General features: G+C 33.6%; 1 protein-coding gene across 7 annotated transcripts in view; it reads left to right on the top strand.

The window, feature by feature from the left end:
• NIPBL (NIPBL cohesin loading factor) overlaps positions 1 to 27696 on the top strand; it is a 189645-nt gene that overhangs the window by 65640 nt on the left and 96309 nt on the right. For all 7 annotated transcript variants that reach the window (NM_001438586.1, NM_133433.4, XM_017009329.2 and 4 more), the window contains exons 2-6: positions 11210 to 11352; positions 13064 to 13229; positions 15696 to 15823; positions 19076 to 19175; positions 19715 to 19866. In NM_001438586.1, coding sequence (NP_001425515.1) covers positions 11289 to 11352; positions 13064 to 13229; positions 15696 to 15823; positions 19076 to 19175; positions 19715 to 19866 — 610 coding nt within the window. In that variant the 5' untranslated portion in view covers positions 11210 to 11288. The remainder of the gene's footprint in view (positions 1 to 11209; positions 11353 to 13063; positions 13230 to 15695; positions 15824 to 19075; positions 19176 to 19714; positions 19867 to 27696) is intronic.

Consider the following 27696-nt stretch of genomic DNA (forward strand, 5'->3'; position numbering starts at 1 on the left):
GTGACAGAGTGAGACTCTGTCTTTAAAAAAAAAAAAAAAAAAAAAAAAAGGCCAGGTGCGGTGGCTAACGCCTTGAAATCCAGCACTTTGGGAGGCCAAAGCAGGCAGATCACTTGAGGTCAGGAGTTCGAGACCAGTCTGGCCAAGATGGTGAAACCCCATCTCTACTAAAAATAAAAAAATTAGCTGGGGGGTGGTGGTGCACACCTGTAGCCCCAGCTACTTGGGGGGCTGAGGCACGAGAATCACATGAACCTTGGAGGCAGAGGCTGTAATGAGCCGAGATCGCACCACTGCACTTCAGCCTGGGTGACAGACTCTGTCTCAAAAAAAAAAAAAAAAATTATCCTCCCTAAAAAGCTATTCCAGTATCTTTTTTCACATTCATTAGTTATATTATTTAGTGGTTATATTTGGTTCTCTTGAACTGTTTTCTGAGTTTTTGAAACCAATTGCACAAATACAGCGCAAGGGAAACATGGTTTAGCAGTAGTAGGACTGAAAAAAAGTTTTAATTCTTGCTAACCTCACTGTGAGACTGTAGTATTTTGTACCTAACAAAAAATTTTCCGCAGTAATCTTTAGTTAAAAAAAAACCCTTCTATTACAGAAAACTATATAGTTGTTATATTGTAACTTCAAATTTTTGTTGTATTTTTTATTGTCATATTGTTTTTTCTCAAATATTTTCAGTCCACAATTTGTTGAATCCATGGATGTGGAACCTGTGAATACGGAAGGCCAACTGTACAAAAAAGATCCCAGAATTAATAAGTAAGGTTTAGTAAGCTTTCGGGATACAGAATTAATATACAATATTCTATTGTATTTCTGCATCCTAACAATTAACAATTGGAAATCAAAAATTTGTCAATTATAATAACATCAAAAATGTGAACTACTTAGGAATGAATCTGAAAAAGTATGTGAAAGCACCGTAGACCAAAAACTAGTAAACATTGCTGAGTGAAATTAAAGAATATCTAAATTAGTGGAGACATATAAATTGTTTGTAGATCATAATGCTCAATATGGTTATCAGTTCTCAAATTGTTACATAGATTGAATGCTATATCTATCATATTCCAAGCAGCTTTGTAGAAACTGACAAGATGATTCTAAAATCCATATGTAACTATAAAAAAAAAACCCTAGCATCAGAACAGTTTGGGAAGAGGGAATAAATTTGTACTAAAGCAGAGATATTGATTAGATAATTGGATATGAGTCTAGTATATGGGAGAAAAGTCAGATTTAGAGATACAAATTTGGGAGCCAGAAGCACAGAAGCACTATTTTAAAATCATGCCACTGAATGAGTTCAACAGTAGAGTACGGAGAGGAAGATAAAAAGAACCAGAAGAGGATCCTGGAGTGGCCAGTTTAGTCAGCAGAAAAACTAGGAGAATGTGTTGTTCTGGAAGACAAAGAATTATTCAAGGAGGAGAGAATGATCAACTTTGTTGATTTCTAGGTCAAATCATATGAGGTGAGAGGCTTGCCCACTGAATCTAGCAATTTTAATGTAATTGCTAACTGTGGCAAGATATTTGGTGGAATGGAGAATAAAAACACATATGGTTGTGGGTTCCAAGAGAAAGTAGGAGAAGAATTAGGGATGAATATAAACAACTGAGGGAATTTTGCTGTGAAAGGGAACAGAAAAATTAAGCCATTGTTGGAGAGAGATCATAGGGGTCAAGATAAATGGTGGGGTTTTTTTGTGTTTTGTTTTTATTGGAAGTAGGGACAATTATTTGCATATATATGTTTTATGCTGATTGGAATTATTCAATATGTGGAAAAATTGATGATGCAGGAGAGAGGAGAATTGCTGAAACGGTATTTTTGAATGAGTTAGAGCAGGATAGAGATCAGTATGCAGATGACACATAAGTGATCCATGATTTTTTGCATCTCTTCCACGTATACCTTTTCTTGATTGCTCTTTCATGTGCTTTATTAATGATCTTACCTATTGGGAGAGTTTCCTAAAGTATCTGAAGCATATTCCATGTTTTCGTACTAGATTGTCTTGAAGAACTGAAGATCAAAAATCAAAGTAGCCAGAGTTTCTTGAAAAGATTCTTAAGGCAGCCAGATTCCAAATGGCTAACAGAACCAAAATGGCAAAGACTATTACATACTTTTATAATTTAATATTAATATAGAAGTCTTGTTCACAAATTTTTCTTATATTTCACATGTACATCTCAAAAAGTTTCCATTTCAGTATTTAAACAAAAAACCACACACTTCAGGATCTTTTGCTTTCTAATATTGTTGAATAATCAATTCAGAAGAATCTGGCCAATCTTTGATGTGCTAGTAAAAAAAAAACCAAAGCTGAATTTTTAATTTTCTCACTTATTTACATAAGTTGAAAGTGTGCCCTCTTGTGGACTATTCAGTAATTTTCACATAAAAGCCTTTTCCTTGTATATTGCAGACTAAATTAATTGTATATCATCACATATGTTTTGGTCAAACGTTGAGATCTAGATCTTAATGTTAAGTTCTTTAAAACCTAAACCTCATTTGGAAATAAACAGTCATTGTTTGATTTTGCATTTCTAATACAATTGTGTATGAAACAGTCTTTTAACAGTTTCAACCTATATAAGGGACTTGGAGACAGGCTATTTCTTTTGCAATATAAAAGAAGATGAGAAATAAATTTTGTTTTGGTGTGTTGGGAGTGGACTAGGAATCCAAACAATTCATAGACGCGCTTGGAAATTTCCTCCGTAGCCTCTATGTAAAAATAAATTTTTAATAATCAAATTCCAGGACACAGGACTATTTTTTTCCTGAGGTAGTTTGTAGTTTTGTGTAGTTTGGTACAATTAAACTTTGCATAACTAACTACAGGCCTCTGCAAATCCATTTAACTGTATAACAAACTGGGACTATTTAAAGTTATGTGAAGTTTTATTAAAGTCAGTTCATAGATGTGTATAGTTTTGCTTATTGTTTTATTTCTCAGCAAACATACACATATTTTATAAACTGCTTTTGAGAAACCCTAAATCTCAACTTTATTTACTTAGTGGTAACTTTTCTTTCTCTGCATAATAGTACTCAGTAGTGTAAATATATCCTTCTAATACACGTTATAAATATGTGATATAGCTACACTATTGGGACACGCATATACATTATTGGTATCCAGCGGTGGCTGCAGAGAGCTCAGGGTTCCAGAAGCAAAGCAAGTGTCTGAAGAGAGTTTTAGAACTTTGCTTTATTTTGCATTTTAAAAATTTATTGGAAGTAATTTGAAACTTTAGAAAAGCAGAAATGTTTTAAAGAAAGTGAGAATTTTTACAGTGCAGCTTATTGGGAACTTTTTGTTTTTGAGGTAGGATTTGAGGAAGATCCTTTCAGAAGTATCTTAAATAGCATGTGAAAAATCTGTTCTTGAATAGCAGGCAGGGAAAAGGAATCTGAAGGTGGCTTGACTGAAGTGAAAGGATTCTGCTGGAGAGGTGCCACTCTCTAGGGACTCACTGACCTATTTAAAATAGTAAGTAGTACCACATAGATTTATTTATTTATTTACTTAACCTGTGTAGCTATTTAGCATTTATATCCCACCTATTTCCTAAAAGGATTTTAGGTGTTTTATAATGTTAAATGTAATATAAACCAGGACAATAAAAATATACTAGTTTAAACTTTTTAAAAAATTCTTTAATGTGAGAAGGCTGAGCAAAGGGCAAGGAGAACCTTTTCATTCTCCCCCCAGAAATCTTGCTCCTCTTTTACTAAAGCTTTCAATCATCTCTCCAAGTGGTGGCAGGGCAATTCTAAGGTCTGACCTTAGTTCTTAGCATAGTATGTTAACAGATTTACCCTTAGTTTTCTGGCCCACCAAGACTCCAGCAGACTTTCTGTTGCCCAACAGGCTGGGCTGCAGCCACACTATAACAAGGTCTGAATCTCAGCCTTGTGAGATGAGTATGCTTTTCCAAATTCTTATTTTCCTCAGATATTTTCCTCCCTTAAACATGTGGATGGTAGCTGTTTCCTGTATTTGCCATTCCTGTATTTTGTAGAATCCTTTTTATACCTTCTAGTTAACCATTTTTTTACTACTTAATAATTCTATATATTAAATTTTTCTTGCTCAAAAACAGTGTGTGTGTGTGTATATATATGCATGTGTCTGTGTGTGTGTATATGTATATATATACACACACATATATGTACTTAGTTTTAAGCCTTTCCCCCACCACCAAAAAAATTAACATTAGCAAAGGTGTTAATTAGCTAAATATTCCACATATATGAAATTTCAGTTTATTCAAAATAATGTTATAATCACACAAGGTGACAATATAGTTTAAAGAATACTGACCTAGAGATCAAACACTTATATTCTAGTCTTGGCTAGTGAATTACTAGCTCAGAGACCTTGAACAGACACTTATGTTCTTTGAAGAACTTTTACTGTTTGCTGTAGGTTTATCTTTTTTCCATAGCAGTGTAGATGTTTCTCAGTTTTATGTCCTTTAGGCAAACATAAGAATATAAGATTTGATTAGAAACACCTGAGTTCAAATCCTATTTCTGCTGCATGCTGCCTGTTTAGCTGTAGAGAGAGTATTTACGCCCTGAAACTTAATTTTTGCATCTGTGAAATAGTGATAATCTTTACAATCCTTTGATATTGGAATGATTAAGGAAAGGAATATATAAATATCTGACACATAAGAAGTGCCAAAAAAAATTTCCCCTACAGCATTACTTTATTTCTTGCCTATCTGATCTATTATAATGTAACTGTTATCAACCCTCAATAAGTGGCTTCCATAACTATAGCTATAGTTCAGACTACTTTTGTCAGATTGTGAATTTCCAACTTCCTGCTTTAGACATCTCCAACTAGATATTACACTGGCATTTTAATCTGAACAAGTCCAAAATCACACCATGGTTACATGTAAGTACTGCAGTATTCTAACAGAACTTTCTGCTTCCATCCTCTGTCTCTTTCTCCCCCACCCTATCTTCCTTATCACTATTAAATTAGTCTTAACTGAAAGCTTAAGGATGTGGAAAAAGATATCAACATTATGTAAGAAACTCCCTTGCAGGCTCCAATTGACTTTTCTGGCCATATGCTCTGTCTAAAGTGTTTATGAATATACCTTGCATATTATATTAGTCTTTAGCACCTAGCTCAGTATACTTCATAGAAGATGCTTAACATAGGTAATTATTTAAATATTCAGAGAAATCTATGTACATATAGCAGCAACAGGAGACTTACTAATTTTTTTATTTTATCATAGTTTATATTAGTATTTTCCTGAATCATAAAGTAATATTCTAATCATAATAAAAGTCCAAGGAGTACAGATAGAAATACCACCAAAATAAGAATTCCCCAGCATCTCAGCATATACCCGACCCCTAATCATTGTTAAAGGTTTAATAATGTTCTTTTTTTTCATGCCTAGACCATCATTTTTATGAAAATGTGTTTTAAGCAAAAGTATTTAGCTTGGTTGATGAGCTTATGATGTGCACACTGATATTTTCAGTTAGCAATATATCTTTAATATCTTTTCATGAATTTTAAGAATCTTTGCCATTCTTCTTTATTTTAGTGCCAATTTGCTGAGAGATTAAAATATAGAATCATCACTGTAAAGTTGGTTCAGGCTTTAATTCAATGATTCTTTCTCTTTTCTCCCTCTGAAATATGTACCCCCCTTTACCACATTCTTGTGGCCAAACTCAAATTTTAAAGGGCAGAGGATGTTCCATCTTGTTAACCATTGTACTTTGCTTGCCTAGCATACATAGTGTCTGACACAGTAACATAAGATAAATATTAATTGGATGCCTCATGAAGGACTAAATATTTTAGAAATAGTATGTTGTGTTGGGTGCCACTTATAACTCAGGAGGTACTTACAGGTTTGAATGAACTGTTATGTAACCTGATACAGCATTTTAAACTGTTAACTATTAAGCATAGTAAAAGGAAAATGCTTTAGTTATGTTGAAGACAAGATGAAGCAGATTTTTCTGGAAAACAACACAAAGTAGAGTTTAAAGCAATTTATTAAATTGCTAAGACAGATTGAATAGTTATTATGAGAAAAGTTACCAGAATCGTATCTTACATCCATCATGTATTTAGCTCATTTTTAGTGTATTCAAAGATGGAGAAAATAAGGGGTTTGTGCTTGGTAAGATTCATTTGCTAAAATGTCATTGTACAAATTTTGAAAAGAAAGGTTATGAACTTAACATAAAAAATACCATGGTGTTTACTTACTCATTGTAATCTTGTATCCAAAACTGTTTTTCCTCAAAGTGAATTTTGCTTTCTGCTCAATAGTTCAGATCAAGAAGAAAGTAAGAGTAATTGAAGTGCCATAGAAATGTGAATCACATACTAAATGTGGTTATAAAGTAAGGATCCTAACTCCATAAAGCCAGAGTCACCATACTTCACTGTCACATGGTGTAGTATACTGACTAACAGTCTTTTAAACTGGATGTTTCAATCAACCCGTAAAATAATATTTAAAAAAGAATGAGACATCTGTATAAATGAAAGATTTCTAAGATAATATACATGGCAAAAGTAAGATGCAGAAGAATATATAACAAATAACATTTGTTGCATTTAACGAACACTTAGTACATGCCCAGCACAGTTCTAAGAACTTTACACATATTATTTCATCCTCACAACAAAATTTAATAATAATTACCTACCTCATATATCAGAGATGAGGAAACTGAGGTGCAGAGATTAAATAAGTTGTCCAAGGTTATGTAGTAAGTGGGGGAGCTTGGATTCAAACACACAGCCTAATTAATATTTTTCTTCTTGGCTATATATTTTGAGTACATTGATTGTGTATGCATAGTAATCTCTCATGGATGTACCATCATTTGTTATACTAATAATATTGTTATACATTTTAGCTGTTAGTTTAAGTGTCCATGTGCCAGATAGCCTGATCTTGACTCCAGCTGTATGGCCTTAGGCAAATTATTTATCTTCTCTGTACATCACATTCTTCATCAAATAGAACTGTAATATTAGCACCTCAGGTTCATATGAGGATTAAATGAGGATTAAATTTATTACATAGTAAGTGCTGAGCAAACATGAGTTACCATTTCTATTTTTTAATCACTAAAAGTAAAAATATTGTGGGAATATCTACATGTGTATGTTAACATGTATATGATTATTTCTTTAGGATATATTTCTAAAAGTGAAATTGTTGAGAAAAAATGATGCATTTTTTTAAGGCTTTGGTTATAGGGTGCAAAGTGGCCCGCCAGAAAGTTTATCTACCATCAGATAATAAGAATGCCTTTTATTCCAAATCTGTCCCAATTTTAGTAGTATTATAATCCCTACTGATACTGTTTTATTTGCACTTCTTTTGTTTGCTTGAGGAAGTTGTAAATTTTGTTGTGAAATTAAATGAAGAAGTGGAGTCTTTAAAAATCTTGGCAAATGCTTAAAAGTTCCCTTCAGACTCATTAGAATGGACTAAATTGATAATTTACTATAATATCTTCCCCTAATTAAGCATTCTTTTAATTAAACCTCAAGCCATTCTTAAATTTAGTTTATAAATGATTTCTCAATGTATTTTGTTCGATTTAGTTCTTAGTATTACAACAGTTAAATTTTTTTCTGCTTTCTGTCGCCAGTATTTATTTCTCCTACCTTATGATTTAAATAATTGTAGGTGAGCAGGCCCAAGACTATGACTTTTAATACTGTGGTGAAATATATACTGGAATGCCAAATAATTATTTATAATAGATCTTTTAGAAGTAGGAATTATTTGTATTGAAAAGATGCCTTTCCCTCTATTTGTTTTGAAAAGACTCCTGTTCTTCATCTGTTCTCCCGAATCTGTTTAGTAATGCTGTTAACTTTCTGGATCACTTACTATGTGCCAGGTGGTATGTCAAATGATATATGTGCATTATTTTATTTTATTCTCATCACCACTTAGAGGTGGGCTACTTTCCTCACTCTTCCATTTTTTCAAATCAGCAACTCTCAGATGGCTTTGCCTGGTTTAAAATTTACCCACAATTTTAAAGACATTTTACCTGAACTCACAAAGCACTGTGCAGTATACTCTTATAGTTCTATTCCCTCCATCCCTTTCAGTGTTCAACCCACTAAATTTATTTTATAATCTACTAATCAGTCACCAATCACAGATTGTAAAGCACTACCTTAAGTGACAGTTTTAAAGCCCTCATTAAAATCTTCTTTACAGTTTGGTTGCAGTTTCATTCTAGACACATGTCAGCTTCAGTTTTACGAAAAACAATATACTTTCACAGAGCCAAGCAGTCCAAAACATTATTCAATCCAGAGCCAAAAATGTCATAGCTAGTTAGTTAGGGTTGTGTTTGTTCATGTTTAGAATCCTAGGAACGCTATTTCTTGATGGACCCTGGTCACCTTCCAACATAAAGTAGCAACATTTCCACAGATTACTTACATTTATTAAAAGCTGTGACTTTAGCTAAAATTGTAACCTCATTTCTACCAAATTCCTCTGCTGTTCTTCAAAATCTTGGATTCCAGTGGAATTAGCCATAGTTCAGCAGTGAAGATCAAATATTTTTGTCAGTAATCATCAACGTGTAATTAAAGCACTTTAAACCAAGTAAGTATTGTTGCTCTCCCGCCCTTTCCCCTTTACTCCCAGTGTTTACTTGACATCATTTCAGTGCATTTTTATGTCACTGTGAAAAGCACAATCTTGTGGTTAGGTTTATTAATCTTCTAGTTCATACATGGGTAACTAAATACATAGTCATTTTTAGGCTAAAAATCCTAGCCTGGGGTTGGATCTGCTCTATTTGTTACTCACCTGGGACTTAAGAAAACAGTCAGGTAGCCCACAGTAGAATCCTCTAGCATATTACTCTCTTTAGGTTCCTATTCTCTGAGTTAAATAATTAAATACAGTCATTTGTTACTTAATCTGCTTGAATATGGCAGTGTACGTGTACAACAGTGAGTTGTATATGAATAACAAGATATTTTTGTGATCTGTAATTTTCATTCAATGGTTTCTTTCCATTAATTACTGAGCATAAGTTGGAACTTTCTTATTAGCATAAATTTAGGAAAAATTCATTGTGTTTTGGTGACCTTTATCAGATTTTAAATTCCAACCAACTTTTTAAAGTGCTTGATGTGACTACTAACTATGCAGTGTTGCATTAAATTTCTTTAGTAATTGTTAAATAATCAAATTAATAATTTCAAAGAGTAGAAATTAGTAATTTCACAGTGTAGCAAATGGACAAATATAGAATAGCTAGTAGTGATTATAGCTTTCCTATATTATTTCCTGTGCCTTTTCCTTTCAGTGGGCTTCTGCTAGAAATTTTGTCAGTCATTCACCAAAGGAAAGTAATGTTTTTTCCCTTAGCTGGCAATTAGTAAAGAATGTACATATAAAGGTCTTTAAACTGTAAAGAAAAAAGAGGAAATGATTACCACAAAGACAAGATAGTTAATACCCCTAGAAGGAACCAGAATGCTAGCCTTTTGGATGATGATTCTATGGATGCTTACTTTATAACTCTGTTAAACTGTGTGTGTGTGTGTGTGTGTGTGTGTGTGTGTGTGCGCGCGCGCGCGCGCGCGCATGTGTGTGTGTAGCAGTTTAATGTACCTTTGTGCAATAGGTCTTATATTTATAATAATAATGTTTGGGGTGAAGGAAATTCTTAGTTTTAACTACCCGTATAATTATACGTTAAATAATTCTATTTGCAATGTTGCATTCAGACATAATGAGTAAGGGAAATTATCAGTATTATGTCATTTGAATGTTTGACGTTTACAACTCAAAAACTTAAGAGGTTCTCTTAAAAGTGACTGACTAGCAAATACAACCTTAAAAAGATAAATATTTAAGTTTTTTAAACTGGAAATTACAATTCCGTTTTTAATCTTAGCTCTATGGTTTAGTTGATGTAGACTTCCATTTGCTGATTAATTTATAAAGTAAAAGTCACTTAATGAGAGCATATCTTTGATTAATGCGTACATTGTTAAAATATTATCTACTTACAAAAAAGGACTTACCAAGTACTGTTAAAGGAAAGATAAATGTTTTACAAGCCATATGTTGAAAATAAGAGAAAAATTTGGGGGCTTGGAACAGAATAACAAAGTGTTCAGTTTTACAGAATGTCTTCATATATTTTTCTGTGTGTGAAGAGAGAGAGAATTCCATCATGATAAATACTGAACATTAAAGTCAATTAAGTCATTTGTATGGGGAACATTAAAAATGTTAACACGTCTTTGTCCTTTATGTGGTTGCATATTGATTATGTGACTTGTAAGAAACATGTAGTGATAGTTGGAAAGACAAGCTAAGTACATGAACATTAAGTAATCGTGCAAGATTGAAACAAGACAAGTTTCAAAAGATGTCACAAAGGAATATATAATTATTTACCAAAATAATATTGGGCAATAAATGTCATAAGTTCAGAGTAGATTAAGATACTCATTTGGATGAATTTGAGGTTTCATGAAATCGTGGGAACGTGCTTTGGATCTTGAAGAATTATAGGATTTGTTTGGACCAAAGTAGGAATGGGCTTCCTAGGTAGGAAGAATGTCTTAAGGAAATGTATAAAGATGGGAATACACAAGGGAGATTTGGGAGAATCTGATTAGATCAGGTTGGTTGGAGAGGGTGGTTTATATAGGATAATGATAAAAGACACAGCTAGAAAGGCAAGTTGAAGCTAGATTATGAGGTTAAATGTTTAACGTGCTTATAATGTGGAAATGAATTGCAGTGCTTGTCGAGGTTGATCAAGTATTCCTTTCTAGCAATCCAGCCTAGCAGTTAAGAAACAAACTCTGGAACCAGATTGCTTTGGTTCTAATTCTTGCTCCACTAGTTACTTTAAACTCACTGTAAATTAATTTCCTCTTAGTAAAATGCAAAAAACAATAGTAGCTACTGTACTGGGTTGTTGTGAGAACTGAATTAATGTGTGCAAAGCACTTTGCAATTGCTTAACATGTAATAAGTGGTATGTGAAAATGATTATTATATAGGTTGAACAAACCAAAGCAGTAACTTTTTTTTATAGTGATTAAGCATTTTCCTGATAGTAATATATCTGACATATCTCTACAAATAATTGTCTGTTTTGTGTGTTGCAGTGTTTGGGAAATGGGAAGTAATGACAGCTGGCACCTGAACTAAGTACTTTTATAGGCAACACCATTCCAGAAATTCAGGATGAATGGGGATATGCCCCATGTCCCCATTACTACTCTTGCGGGGATTGCTAGTCTCACAGACCGTAAGTTTGGTTAATTTATCTAATTTAAGTTCTACTGTGTGTTAACAATAATTTTTACAGTGACTGTTCTAAAAATTATTATAGGTTCTTTAAAACACATTTACAGAAATAGCAACTGAAACTGCCCTTTAAAGAAAAAAAAAATTGATAGCCTAATTTATCTAACTTCTTAGTGATGTTTATTTTGGTTGTCATGTTCAGTAATCTGTTGGAGCTTGTTGGAGGTATCAGCAGCCTATTTTACTCTAAGGACTTAAGAATTTTAAAGAACATTGCCAGTCTTTTGAGATTTATTTAATGTAACTCAATTTTTCAGAGATTTATTCTTTTGTTAGGCATTTGTAACTATAATTCTTAGTCCTTGAATAATGATACAAAAAGCTACCTACAATTTTAGTTACTGTGTCATCCTACCTGAATAAATAAAAGGAAAAAGATATGAGAGGGAAGGGTAGAAAGTGAGAGGATGGCATACTTTTCTTTGGATAGCATTATGCAAGATTTGGGACTTCATAATAAGGGAGCTAGGAGAAAGTATCTTCAAGAAATGTTTTTGTCCATGTTCAGTATCCTCCAAATACAACTTTTCTGGCTTTTGTTTTGTTTTGTGAATTTCCAGTTGGTTTTAGTGGGGTAAAATAGATAACAGCCTGTTAGCTTTGAGCTTAGGAAATAAGCGTAACTAGTTTATGAGGTCTAAATTAACAGGAGAGTGCTGTAGGTGATTGGGTCAGCATTACTCAGGTAAGAAAACTTTTTGAAACTGGCATTAGTTTTTATTATCACTTTGTTGTAGGTAAGGCATAAATAGGAGTTCAAAATCAGATATACTGTCAGGAATTTCTTTTTGGTTTTTCTCCCCATGATCTTTGCTATACCTAAATATTTTGTCTTTCCAGGAAGCCCTGTTCATTAAGTAATAATTTATTTTCTGTGTTTTTATTAATGAGAATCCTGTTGGTACCTATTGAGGCTGAGCACCATGATAATTATACTGTATAGGTGATTAGAAATTAAGCCAAAAACAAAGACACCTGATATTTTAGTGAGCTTTCTTAACCTTTAGACAAATGAACAAATTTGTTAGGTGAACAGAGATTAAACGGCTGAATTTAAGCTACTATAAAACATTTATGTTCTTTTGTTTGCTATTAGAAGAGAATAAGTAGGAGACAACTAGGAATTTGGAATTTAGAAGAATATTTTAATATTCTTACAGAATTCTATGCTATGAATGCTTTCTTGCTAAAGTGAGGTATTTATTTGTATATTCTTAAGCTTTTAAAAAACGTTACTTGTCTACTTTATGAAGAGTCAGATATTGTTATTTGTTTGTATGAGCGTACTATTGATTCTGAAAAATCTTATAAACAAGAACAAATGAGATTAATGAATTGCTACATTGGAAGTTAGTTTGTAACCATGCCTTTTTCGCTAGTCATTTGTTAATAAAATTTAAGAAATGAAAAGCAAGGATGAATATAAGGGAGCTGAATTTTATTCCTAGAGACTAGTATAATCTATTATGGTCCAAGTGATGTTTTGGAAGTTTTGTAGGGTTGATTGAGGTTTGTTAGGAAGAGGAGGAATGCCTTTTAATAATTTGTCACATTGATATTTATAACTTACTTTTAATCCCAAAATACAGATAAGCACTAAAGAGACTTCTATAGTCACTCAATTTCTAATAATCTGATTTTATTCCAAATAGTCCTGAACCAGCTGCCTCTTCCATCTCCTTTACCTGCTACAACTACAAAGAGCCTTCTCTTTAATGCACGAATAGCAGAAGAGGTGAACTGCCTTTTGGCTTGTAGGGATGACAATTTGGTTTCACAGCTTGTCCATAGCCTCAACCAGGTATCAACAGATCACATGTAAGTATGATCAATTTTATATCTACTATAAGTGAAAAGTTTTGGCCTTACTAAGAGAATCCGTATTCCTGGTTTTATTTCAGAAATTTTTAGATACATAGTTTATTTTTTAAAAATATCCATATCCGAGGGAGAATATAGTCTTATTGCAATAATAGATTAATGAGATTTAAGTAGGCAATATTTATTTTTAGATAATAATTCTGACCCATGTAGCTCTATGGATATTTTTTCAGCTCTTTTGAACTTATCTTGGGGGATCCATCATTTGTGCAGAGATCTGGTCATGAAACTATATCCCTGTCTGGGCGCGGTGGCTTACACCTGTAATCCCAGCACTTTGGGAGGCCGAGGCAGGTGGATCACGAGATCAAGAGATTGAGACCATCCTGGCCAACATGGTGAAACCCCATCTCTACTAAAAATACAAAAAAAAAAAAAAAATTAGCCAGGCGTGGTGGCGGGCGCCTGTAGTCCCAGCTACTCGGGAGGCTGAGGCAGGAGAATCACTTGAACCCGGGAGGCAGAGGTTGCAGTGAGCCGAGATCACGCCACTGCACTCCAGCCTGGCAACAGAGTAAGACTCCGTCTGGGGAAAAAAAAAATTATTTTTCACTGCAAAACCAATACATATTTATACAAACAACACAAAAATGTGTAAAAAGTAAAATCTCTCATTCTTATCCCTTCATATTCCACCACACAATGTTACTCATGTAACCTCGCATTCTTTATTTTTTTAATTTAAAAATTCATCATGTAGGGGAATGAGGATAAACACATTATAATGGAGAGATATCTACATTAGATGCGGTACATATTTTTGGGGCATTTTTAAAGCTGATGACTCTAAGGTGAGATACTTACTAAATGGATTTTCTAATGGAGAAGCTAAGAAATGATTGGTTAAAATCAGAAAGAAGTATAATACTACTAATATTTTGTCACTCCAAAAATTCAGCAATATCTAAATCACTTCTTTTTTTTTTTTTTTTTTTTTTTTTTGAGATGGAGTCTTGCTCTGTTGCCCAGGCTGGAGTGCAGTGGTGCGATCTCGGCTCACTGCAACCTCCACCTCCTGGGTTCAAGTGATTGTTCTGTCTCAACCTCCTGAGTAGCTGGGATTACAGGCCCCCACCACCATGCCTGGCTAATTTTTGTATTTTTAGTAGAGACAGGTTTTCACCATATTGGCCAGGCTGGTCTCAAATTCCCGACTTCAGGTGATCCACCCACCTCGGCCTCCCAAAGTGCTAGGATTATAGGTGTGAGCCACTGTGCCCAGCCTCTAAATCACTTCTTATGCTTGTACATACTTATTCAGTAGTTTTCACCAAATATTTAAAGATGTAAAGGAAATAGCACACGTAAAATAAGGACTTATTTTATGGAGAGCTCCTGTAAGATTGCCCTGGAAATGTAGTGAGTCTTATCATTGGACACCATCTTTATAGGTCTTCATGGTTAGATCCAATGAGTAGAACATTGACATGTATAATATAAAGTTAAAACACTGCCTATACTTAATTTTATCATCATCTCCCATGGTTATGAATTTAATTTGCTACTTATATTGAAGTTTATTGAAAATTGCTGCTGTGAAGTGTATTGAAATTTGCTGTTTGGTTTCCGCTTTTCCCGCACCATGACATTATTTGAGAAAGCAATGTAAGATGGAAAAATTACATAACCTCTGGGTCTTGTCTTAATCAGTGTGGCAACAGTATCTTATTTGTAAGACATTCCCAGAAAGTCAGACTCACTCATATTCAGGTGTAAGAAAATATATTCCAATACCAAATATCAACTTTTTGTGTAACTTTCACTTGTCTACCCTTCCATTATTTTGAATAGTTTAGAATAGAATGTATTTCTTTTCTATTTTAGAACTACTTGGAAATTATTAAACTCATAGTTCAATAAAATAGTGTTTTGGGCTTTTTTTCTCTTGACTGTGTAAAGTAAAATGAAGAAAAAGATTGTCCTTAGAAGAATCCCTCTCTGTTATTTTTGATAATTATATTTCTCCCAGGGATAGCATATTTGAAAATTCATAACTGTTGGGTCAGCCACAGTGGCTCACACCTGTAATCCCAGCACTTTGGGAGGCCGAGGCGGGCAGACCATCTGAGGTCAGGAGTTAGAGACCAGCCTGGCCAACATGGTGAAACCCTGTCTCTACTAAAAATACAAAAATTAGCTGGGCGTGGTGGCAGGCACCTGTAATCCCAGCTACTCGGGAGGCTGAGGCAAGAGAATCACTTGAACCTGGGAGACGGAGGTTGCAGTGAGCTGAGATTGTACCATTGCACTCCAGCCTGGGGGACAAGAGTGAGACTTCGTCTCAAAAAAAAAAAAAAAAAATTCATATTGTTGGCCATACCAGTGTGATTTACTTTTATATGATAAGTCTTCTTAAGAATCAGTCACCATTTTAATTTTTGATACTTATTTTCTCAATGCCAGAGAGTTGAAAGATAACCTTGGCAGTGATGACCCAGAAGGTGACATACCAGTCTTGTTGCAGGCCGTCCTGGCAAGGAGTCCTAATGTTTTCAGGGAGAAAAGCATGCAGAACAGATATGTACAAAGTGGTGAGTTTCTTAATAACTGAATTCCCATATCAAACTTGTTTTATACATATTTAAATCCAGGTGTCTTCTTTAACAAGCTGGCCTATCAGGAATGCGATGTTTATGCCTTCAGTCAAGCCAAGAACAAGAAGGAAACTAAACTGATAAGATTCTTGTAGTTTAATATGTAACTAAATTCCTTGAGAATTAGACAAAGCTTTAAGTGTATTTTGTTAAATATGTTGGAATATATCAGTTTACTCAGCTTAAAAATTTTTTTGTTTTAGAAAATCAGAATTAATTTGAAATAAGTCTTTCATTAATTAAATAAATATTTGCAAAGCTTTTGAACATGTACATTGTAGCAGGTATATAGAGTTTTAATACTGATTGTGATTATATTCATGGTTTTCTAGTAATTGATTTAATACTCCTGTTGCCTTAGCAACAGAAAAATTGGTTAAGTATTATTATTAAAGAAAAATTGATTCATGGTATTATAAAATAATAAAAATATTACATCCAACACAGATATAATTTTTATGTAGTCATGGAGTACCTTTGGGTTAAGAGCATTGTTCTGTTCAAGCTTACTGAATTTGACAAGCCCAAGTGCCTGTTTGGCTCTCAAGATTAAAATAGGGCAGGAATAGCTTGGACAACTTCAGAAAGTTCAACTTTGTTAATTAAATAATTGTATTTAAGAATTTTATCAGCCGGGCATGGTGACTCACGCCTGTAATCCCAGCACTTTTGGAAGCTGAGGCAGGTGGATTGCCTCAGGCCAGGAGTTAAGACCAGCCTGGGCAACATGGTGAAAACCTGTCTCTACAAAAAAATACAACAACTAGCCAGGCATTATGGTGTGCGCCTGTAGTCCCAGCTACTTGGGAGGTTGAAGTGGGAAGATCGCTTGAGCTCAGGAGGTCAAGGCTGCAGTGAGCTGAGATTGCACCACTGCCTTCCAGCCTGGGCGACAGAGCGAGACCCTGTCTCCAAACAAAAAGAAAAAATAAATAAAATAATTTTGCCAAATTCATTTTGGTTTTGGTTTACTTTGTTGGCAGCACTTCCATGATGCTTCCCATTCTGTTTCCTTTAAATAATATTGCTTTGCTGATTCTGTGTACTTGTGTTGTTTGAATGGTATTTTGAAAGCAATTGCATAGTTACTATTGATTCCTCAAAATGCATAATGGGGATGCTTCTGACCGACTTGCCTTTTAGCAAGTTGAAGGTAGGTATGCACGACAGGGCTCTGACTTCACCAGAACTAATAAGTTAGATTGCAATAGTAGGAGACAGATATAAATAATGAAGGAAGCTAGAGTTATGACGGCTTTCTGGAAAAATGTTGGAATTGAAAGAAAATGTGGAAAGAGAGTTGAGTGGAAGAAAGACTAATAGAGTAGGAGTATTAGTTTTATGAGAATGTGAGTAAATCTAATATTGGATAAATGAATCTAAGGCTACTAATACTACATTTTTGCAACTTACATTTTTGAGTATTTGGGTAGTAAATCACTCTGATAAAAACTTTTAGAGTGTTCACCTCTCAGTCACATATTTTGTGTTTTATACTACATATACTTGTTTTTTAGTCCAAAATATTGTTTGATTTCTGTATACCCTACTTTGTAAAAGCATAAACTAGCATTTAAAATTAATCAATTAATTGCATGTTATTTTTTTTTTTAAAGCATTTTCCTGGTGATATATGGCTTTGAAATTTTAAAAGTTGGCTGGGCGTGGTGGCTCACGCCTGTAATCCTGGCACTTGGGAGGCCAAGGTAGGAGGATTGCTTGAGCCCAGGAGTTCAAGACCAGCCTGGGCAATGCAGAGAGACCCTGTCTCATTGAAAAATAAAAAATAAAAATAAAATAGAAATTTAAAAAGTTGATTTTGGGGTTGGTAAGTTTAAATATGAGTCATGCATGTGGAGAAAATTGTAATAAAATGCAAATCACTTTAATCATAGTTCTTTGGAACTTAGAATTAATTGAAAAGGACTGTTAGAATTTCATTTACCCGTTTTATTTAGAAAGCCATTGCTTTCAAACTAGTAATTCCAGTTTGTCCCAGTGATGGCTGTTAATTCAGGGGGGAAAAGCTTTTTAACTCCTGTCTCATTGAGTGTTCATCTCCCTCCAAAAGAAAAAGAAAAAAAAAAAAACCTCCAGCAACAATAATTATAGTAATTAAGCTATTAAAGCTATGGAGCAAAACAATTCTGTGCTGAGTTTGAGTTGGAAAAGAAAAGTCAGAAGTTGAAATTTAGACTACATACTTAAGAAAACACCCTTCAATGGTAGACTTAGAGGCGATTTTGAAACCTAATTTCATTCAGCTACAATCTCTTTTGTAGTACTCTTAGCAAATCAACTTCTGTTTGAATATTTCTAGTGAAAGCCACTTTTTATAACAACAGCAGGAAATGAAATTTGGAAATACAATTTGATGCTTGCAGCTGCCAAAAAAGAGATTGGCTATAGAAATCATAAGAAAATTCAGGGTGTTATTTGTAGATTTTTATCTGATTTTGAAATGTCTAAATAAGTGAATTTTTCTGTGTCTCCCATATAATGAAATGTCATGTGAATAATTGAGAAATAATGTCTAGCTTGGAAATAAATGTAAGAACCAGAATGCTCTTCACAGGTTTTTATTTTTTAATAAAATATTCCGTTAATCCCTACTATGTGACAAAGAGTTATTGTGAAAGAAGGAATAGGTACATTCTGTTTTGCTTCAGAAGACATTCAGGTGGAAATTGCAGGAATTCAAACTTTCGGCCCATAAATAAAGTACTTTTCAAAACCTGTGTCTGAACCATGATAATACAAATAGCTTTGTGAAATTAAGTTCCCAAGCATGAGAGATGTATATGATAAAATATTCATGTAATAAAAACTACCCTGAGTCCCGTTGTAGAAGGAAGTGTATTGTGTTAGGTGCGAGGTTAGATAAGACAACTTTTAAAAAAATCTTTTCAATTCTAAGGCTAAATAATAGAATATTGAGTAAGCAAGTAAATTTTTTTAAAATATTATAATCTCTGTTTCTAGTCCTGGATTAGTTTTATGGAAAATGGTGTTGTAATAAAATTGTTCTTGAAATTTACAGTTTTACAGCGTCTATATTTTGCTCTTTGAAATGAAAACATTGATCAAAAAAATCTCTGGAATGTTTGAAAGAATAACTGATTTCAGTTATTTAAAGGACACTTTACTGTTAGAAGAAAATAACGTTCTGTATTTTTGTGTTTTGCATAGGAATGATGATGTCTCAGTATAAACTTTCTCAGAATTCCATGCACAGTAGTCCTGCATCTTCCAATTATCAACAAACCACTATCTCACATAGCCCCTCCAGGTAATATATGTATATATCGTTTATTAAATATTGTCTTGTATGGTGAATATGCTGGTGAATATATGGTTCATACATTTAGGTAATGGTGGATTATTTAGAGTTTAAATAGTTGAAATACTTAAATAGTAATCCACTTTGCATTTGCCTTAAAATGTTGTATATGGAAATAGTCTGATATGCTAATTGAAGTAGCTACCATCTTAGTAATGTAATTTCATACAGACAAAAAATGTTAAAATAACTAATGTGTTTGAGATAAGAAGATTTACGGAGCATGGCTTTAAGTACCTTAAACAGATTGGTACTTTTATATAAGTAAACAAATTACCTGTTTTTAAAAACTTTTTTATTGTAACTCTTTGATTATGAATTGTGAACAATTTTTGTATGTTATTTGACTATTTTGCAAGATTCTTCTGTTTGCATAGATTTTACATATATAAACTAAGAGATCAGAGGACTTTGTGACAGTCAGATTTCAAGGAATAGCGTGTTTATTTTATTTCCTTATATTTTTTTATTTGGGTTTTGGGTTTTAGCCGGTTTGTGCCACCACAGACAAGCTCTGGGAACAGATTTATGCCACAGCAAAATAGCCCAGTGCCTAGTCCATACGCCCCACAAAGCCCTGCAGGATACATGCCATATTCCCATCCTTCAAGTTACACAACACATCCACAGATGCAACAAGGTAAGAAAGTTGTTTGTAACTTCACTGGGAATGTCTAAGTGCTTTAATTCCAAGCAAATTTGTTTTTTAAAATATAATTATTAAACACAAACTAAAATACTATACTGTATACTTGTCAGTAAACCTTTTTAAAGATATGGCTTAAATCATTAAAACAATGTTACACTTACCATTTGAAAATTTGTCATTTTAGGAGGTGAAAGGAGCAGTGTCATTTTGGCTTTTTGGATTCAGTTATTATATAACTAAGTATATTTAGGTGTGAAATTAAGAAGAACTGCGTTTTTAAAAATTGCTCCTTCTTCTTACATTAGCACTAAGCCAAGGGACAATTACATTTTAATTGGTAAAGTAGATACAGTCAGCCTTTCACATACATGGTTTCTGCATCATGGATTCAACCAAACACGGAGTGAAAATATTTGGAAAAAAAATTGAGTCTGTAGTGAACACGTACAGACATGTTTTCTTGTCGTTATTACATAAACAATATAGTATAGCAACTGTTTACATAGCACTTACATTGTATAGGCATTGTAAGTAATCTAGAGATGATTTAAAGTACTGTATAGTGCATAGGGCTATATGCAAGTACTATGCATTTTATATCAGGGACTTTTAAGCATTTGCAGATTTTGGTATCCACAGAAGGTATTGGAACCAATCCCTCATGGATACTGAGGGATGACTACTATGAAAAATTTACTATACTGTAATAATTTGTAGTAAAAATTTACTGTAGTACAGTAAAGGAAAATTAATCTTAGATGCAAAAATTTGAGATTAAATTACCAGTTCTTACTTGATTACTAGTTCTTAATGTCATAATGTTGATATTATGATGTCTTTTTAAGGTTATATTGCCTGGAGATATATTTCATGGTTACTAAATAATTGATTTATTATTAGTATAAATTGTATGTTTTAAAGAAATTTTTTAAAGCAGAAAAGTGCAAAGGATAATATAAAAAACATCTTTATTTTTGTCCTCCTTAATTAACAGCAAATTTTAAAAACTTGCTTTCAGTCACTAGTTTCTACATGTGTATTCTTGTTTATTATGCATGAAGTTGAAACTTTATTCATTAATAAACTTATTAATGTATAAACTTTTAACTTTGTCATCCATCAAAACAGCTAACTCTGGTTTCCCAAAACCAGATTATGAAATATTAGGTTGAGCTTTTTTACACACGAACTCAAGGAGAAACTGGGAAGCAAATTTGACACATTTGAAATAGACACAGCCAGGTGTGGTGGTATGCACTTGTAATCCCAGCACTGTAGGAGGCTGGGGCAGAGGAATCATTTGAGCCCAGGAGCTCAAGACCAGCCTGCGCAACATAGTGGGACCCTGTCTCTACAAAAAAAAAAAAAATTAGCCAGGCATGGTGGCATTTACTTGTAGTCCCAGCTACTCAGGAGGATGGCTTGAACCCAGAAGGTCAAGACTGCAGTGAGTCATGATCACACCATTGCAGTCCAGCCTGGGTGACAGATTGAGACCTATCTCAAAGAAAAGAAATAGACACTTAGAAAATTACTGAATTGAGTGTGAGTGCCAAACATACATATCTATGTGTATATGTAGATTCTTAATATATGTAAAATACTATTATACTCAAGTACACAAAAGTCTGAGGGACATTTTACATGTAATGGAGGAAAAATGTCAAAAGAGCACATCCATATACACATGAATGTGTGTAAAACAGAATGTAAATTTTATCTCTAAGAAATGTGATGTGTTTTCACAAAATTAACTTAGGTTTTTAATGTAGTTTGAGGACCTATTCAGTATTGTGTCATTTCTTAGAAATGCTCAGATAAAGAACTAAAAACCATACTCAGGGATTAGCCTCACCCAGATATTAAAGTTATTCTAAATAAAAAAATTTAGTCAGTACTACCCAAAACAGTTTCTATATTCAACGTAATCCCTATCAAAATACCAATGACATTCTTCACATAAACAGAAAAAATTTATATGGAACCAAAAAAGACCCCAAATTTCCAAAGCAATCCTGAGGAAAAAGAAAAAAGCTGGAGGCATCACACTACCTGACTTAAAAATACATTACAAAGCTGTAGTAACCAAATCAGCTTGATACTAGCATAAAAACACATAGACCAATCCCAGAATAGAGAATCCAGATATAAATACAGATATTTACAGGCAACTTACTTTTGACAAAGGCACCAAGAACATAAAATGAGGAAAGGACAGTCTCTTCAATAAATAATGCTGTGAAAAATAAACTCAAAATGGATTAAATACTTAAATCTGAGACATGAAACTACTAGAAGAAAACATTGAAGAAACACTCCAGGATGTTGGTCTGTGCAAAATACTTTCTGTTTAAGATTTCAAAATATAGGCAACCAAAGGAAGAAATAGACAAATGGGATTACGTCAAGCTAAAAAGCTTCTGTACAGCAAAAGAAACAATCAACAAAATGAAGAGACAACCTACAGAATGGGAGAAAATATTTGCAAACTATCTGTTTGACAAGTGATTAATAACTAGAATATCAGGAATATATAAGGAACTCAATAGCAAAACAATAACAACAGAAACTGATTAAAAGCCAAAAGATGTGAGTAGACATTCTCAAATGAAGACATCAATGGCCAGCAGATACAGCAAAAAATGCCGAACATCACTCATCATCAGAGAAATACAAACAAAAAGCACAGTGAAATATTATCTTGCCTTAATTAAAATGGCCTTTTTCAAAAAGACAGGTAATAGTGAATACTGGTGAGGATGTGAAGAAAAGGGAATCCTCATATACTGTTGGTGGGAATGTAAATTAGTACAGCCTTTATGGAACACTGTATGGTGGTTTCTCAGAATACTAAAAATAGAGCTGCTGTATGATCCAGCAATTCCACTAGTAGGTATGTATCCAAAAGAAAGGGAATCAGTATACTGAAGAGATGCACGCCCATGTTTATTGCAGTACTATTCACAAAATAGCCAAAATATGGAATCAACCTAAGTCCCCCATCAGTGGATGAATAGAGAAAAGGTGTATGTATACACAATGGAATATTACTCAGCCATAAAAAAGAATAAAGTCCTGTCATTTTCAGCAACATAGAGGGAACTAGAGGTCATTATGTTAAGTGAAATAAGCAAAACACAGACAAATATTATATGTTCTCACTCATATGTGGCAATTAAAGTGGATTTTAAGAAGATAGAGAATAGATTGGTGGTTACCAGAGGCTGGGAAGGGTAGAGGAGGGAGGTGTTGAAGAGAGCTTGATTAATGGGGACAAATATACTGTCTGATAGGAGAAATAACACACAGTGTTTAATAGCTCAGTAGGGTGACTGTAGTTGACAGCAATCTATTTTATATTTCAAAATAGCTGGAAGAAGATAATTTGAATGTTTTTACCATACAGAAAAGACAAATATTAAGGTGGTGGATATCTGAATTACACTGATGCAATCTTTACAAATTATATGAATGTATTTATCACATGTATCCCAGAAATACGTGCCTCTATTATCTGTCAATAATAAAACATAATTTTATTTGAAAAAGAAAAAAGTCTGGCAGGGAAAAAGTGGATAGGTCAGTAGGACAGAGAGAATGCAGACGTGAGACAGTTTAGACTATTGAGAAAGGTTGCATTTTTTTTCAACTTTATATTACAAAAATTTAACCATGCAGAAAAGTTCTAAGATTAGCACAATGAACCCCTTCACCAACAGGTATCCTGCCACTTTGTCCTTAAGTACATCTGCTAAGAATATTCTCCTATATAAAAAATTAAGGTCAGTTCTGTGGTATCATCTAATATCCAGAATACATTTGACTTTTACCAATCCAGTTGTCCTAAATATATTTTTAATATCTTTTCAAAGCATGTTCAAATCTAGCTTTTCACACATTGCATTTGATTTTTACATCTCTTATGGAGGCTCTTTTAATCTAAAGCAATCTTACACCTTTTTCACCCCATGACACTAATTTTTGGTTTTTGAAGAGTTTGGCTACTTTTGTTGTAGAATATTTCATATTCTAAACTCCACTCTTTTCTGCTGGTGTTGTTTAATTTGTTTTCTGTATTTCCTATCAAGTAGAAATTAGCTTTAAGGTTTTACTAGTTTCCAGTTACACATTTTTGGCAAGAGTACTTGGTAAGCAGTGTTGTGCACTTTACATTGTATCTTATCATTATCATAAAATGGTCTCAGTATCAGTGGTGTTTAGGTGGTGAACCTCTCTTTATTGTAAAAGTACATATTTTTCCCTTTGCAATTAGTAAATAATCTGTGGGATGATACTTTGAGATCATGTAAATATACAATTTCCCATTAATCTTTTACTTAAAGGGGGTAGCATTCAGTGAATCTCATTTTATCAGTTTTTACAAAGTCATTGGAAAAACGATGATTTTTTAAAATTTTATCATTCTAAAGATTACATTTTAAAATCAGCATATAAGAATGGATTGTTTAATAAATGATGTTGGTGATTGTCTAGGTATTTTGCAATTTTAGCTGGATTCCTGGATCACTGAAAGCAAAAGTGTTCTAGATTAATAAGCTGTTTGTATTTTTTAAGTCATAAAATTATAAGAAAAACGTGGGCGAATTTTTGGTATTCTAAGAGTTGAGAAGGCATTATTTCTAAGCAGACCGAAAACCTCGATTGTAGAAATGAGAAAAAAAGATTAATTATAAATTTGTATATAAGAGAACATAAATATATAAATTACATAAATATAAAACAAATATGGGGGATATATGCAACATTTATTATAAACACAAAGTATTGATTTAATATACCGAAATCTCATACAGATCGATAAGAACAAGACAAAAATGAACTAAAGAAGTAAACAGGCAATTTACTGGAAAAGAATAGCCAAGTCGATACAGAAAGATTTAATAAATATATGAAATTGTGGTCACCTTAGCTCATAGAGATGCATTCAAAATTAAGATGAAATAAAATTTTATATCAGATTGATAAACATTTCAGTCTTCATAGTGATATAAATTGGTGCAACTTTTTTAGAGAACCGTGTGTTTGACAGTATCTATCATATAATTTAAAATTCATATACCTCACTCAGTAGTCCAAAATCTACCTCCCTTAAAAGAAGGGGAAAGGGATAAAAACATACTCAGACTGTTCTAACAAGTTCTACCAAACATTAAATGAAGAGATATGCTAATCTTAATCCATTCCAGAAAAAAGAAAAACAGCAACACTTTCTTAACTCTTTTTATAAAGTTAAATTACAATCTGGATACCAAAATCAGGTGAAGTGAGGGGAGTATGAGAAAGGAAAATTATAAATCAGTCATCACATATGAACATTCATGTCCTGTTCCCGAATTGAAACAAAATGTTTCTAATTTTTTCTACCACTAGGTAAGATTAAATCAATCTCTTTTTCTTTTTTCCATACAGATGGGGTCTTGCTGTATTGCACAGGCTAGACTCAAACTCCTGGGCTTAAGTGATCCTTAAGCCTTAAGGTGAAACAAATTTTTTAAACAAATATTAAGAAACCAGGCCAGGCATGATTGCTCACTCTTGTAATCCTATCACTTTGGGAGGCCAGAACGGGCAGATTGCTTGAAGCTTAGGAACTCAAGACCAGCCTGGGCAACATGGTGAAACTCCATCTCTCTCCACAAAAAATTAGCCAGGCAAGGTGGTGTGTGCCTGTAGTCCCAGCTATTTGGAGGCTGAGGTGGGAGGATGGCTTGAGCCTGGGAGGCAGAGGTTGCAGTGAGCTGAGATCACGCCACTGCACTCTAGCCTGGACAACAGAGTGAGACTCTGTCTCAAAAAAAAAAAAAAAACAAAAAACAAAAAACGAATAAGCAGTGTTATCAACCTATATGACAAAATTGGATATATATATGAATTGATTAGTAGAAGACAATTAATATAATTCAGATTATGGGCCTGGGGTCCTGTGAGCCTTTTAATAGGTCTCAAAAGAGCATTCAGAAAGATTCAACTTCCATTCATGACATTTAAAACTTTTCACTGAATAAAAATACATTAAGCACTTTGGGAGGCTGAGACTGGTGGATCACGAGGTCAGCAGATTGAGACCATCCTCGCTAACACAGTGAAACCCGTGTGTACTAAAAATACAAAAAAATTAGCTAGGCGTAGTGGCAGGCGCCTGTAGTCCCAGCTACTCCGAAGGCTGAGGCAGGAGAATGGGGTTAGCCTGGGAGGCGGAGCTTGCAGTGAGCCGAGATCGCCTGGGCAACTGAGCAAGACTCCGTCTCAAAAAAAAAAGAAGAAAAATACATTAAGCTGGGTGTGATGGTGCACATCTGTAGTCCCAGCTACTCAAGTGGCCAAGGCAGGAGGATCACTTAAGCCCAGGAGTTTAAGTCTAGCCTGTGCAATACAGCAAGACCCCATCTGTATGGAAAAAAAAGGAGAAGAGGTTGATTTAATGTTACCTAGTGGTAGAAAAAATTAGAAACATTTTGTTTCAATTCAGGAACAGGCCATGAATGCCTATAATGACATTTATTTAGTGGGTGTCCCAGCCAATACAGGAAGATAAGAAGCGTTAAACTATGTATAATTATTGGTAAGGAAGAAAAAAGTGTCATTTTCAGGTGACATAATTGTCTTCATAGAAAATCCAAGATAAGCTACAGACAAGATACTAGAATTAATAAAAGCATTCCACTTAGTTACTGGACACAGCATCATTATAATGAAATCAATTGCATTTTTATATACAGAAATAAGCAGTTATAATCTTTTTTGATAGCATTAACAGTTTAAAAGAGCACCACAAGATACCTAGGAATAAATTTAATGAAAGATGTAAAAGACTTTTGTGGAGCAAATTACAAAACTTTTGAAAGAGATAGAAGAAAAGAAAATGAAGAGTTATGCCATCTTCATGGATAGGAAGACTCAATAGGGTAAAGATTATTATTACACCCGTATCTATAAATTCAGTATAACACTGATAAAAAATCTCAAGGAAGGTTTTTGTGGAATTTAACCTGCTTCTAAAAATTCATATAGAAGTTGTTCAAGAATAGACAAAATAATAAGGAATGAAGTGTAGCAGCTCAGTCTAACAACAGTCAAGATTTATTGTAATATTGGTGCAGACATGGAAAAATAACATATAGTGAAGTAGAACATGATGAAGAGCTTAGGAACATACCCATGGACAAATGTAAACTTGGTCCATATGGCATTATATCTTAATGGGGGAAAGAATGATTTCTTTAATTAATGATGCAGTTGTTCATATGGAAACAAGTAACATTGGATCCCTATCTCACACTTAAAAATAAGTTTTACATGGGTTAAAGACCTAACTGAAAAACCAAAACTGTAAGGCTTTTAGAAGATACAGGAGGCTGTCTTTTTATGACTTTGTGTAAAGGAGGGGATCTGAATGGCCAGTACACAAGAGAAGATGCTTGGCTTCACTAGTAATCAAGGAAATCCAAAGTAAAGTGACTGTCAGAAACATTTCCTACCCTTAGAATGATAAAAATTATTGGCAAGGATATAGAACAGTGGGAACTCTCATACGCTACCAATGAATACAAATGGTCATAAGTAATCTGTTATTTAGTAAGGTTAAAATATGCATATCTGGCAATTTCACTCCTAGGTATTGGCACCTAGAGCTCTTACACATTTATAAAAACAGTCCTTATGTACAAGAACATACATTGCAGCATTGTTTATGGCAGCAAGCATTTTAAGCGATTTGAACATCCACATAAGAATGAACAAATAAATAGTGTACATCATACAGCAGAGTATGTGTAATTATTTAAAATAAATGAATTTACA

Source organism: Homo sapiens, chromosome 5 (genome assembly GCF_000001405.40).
Source record: "Homo sapiens chromosome 5, GRCh38.p14 Primary Assembly".
NCBI lineage: Eukaryota > Metazoa > Chordata > Mammalia > Primates > Hominidae > Homo > Homo sapiens.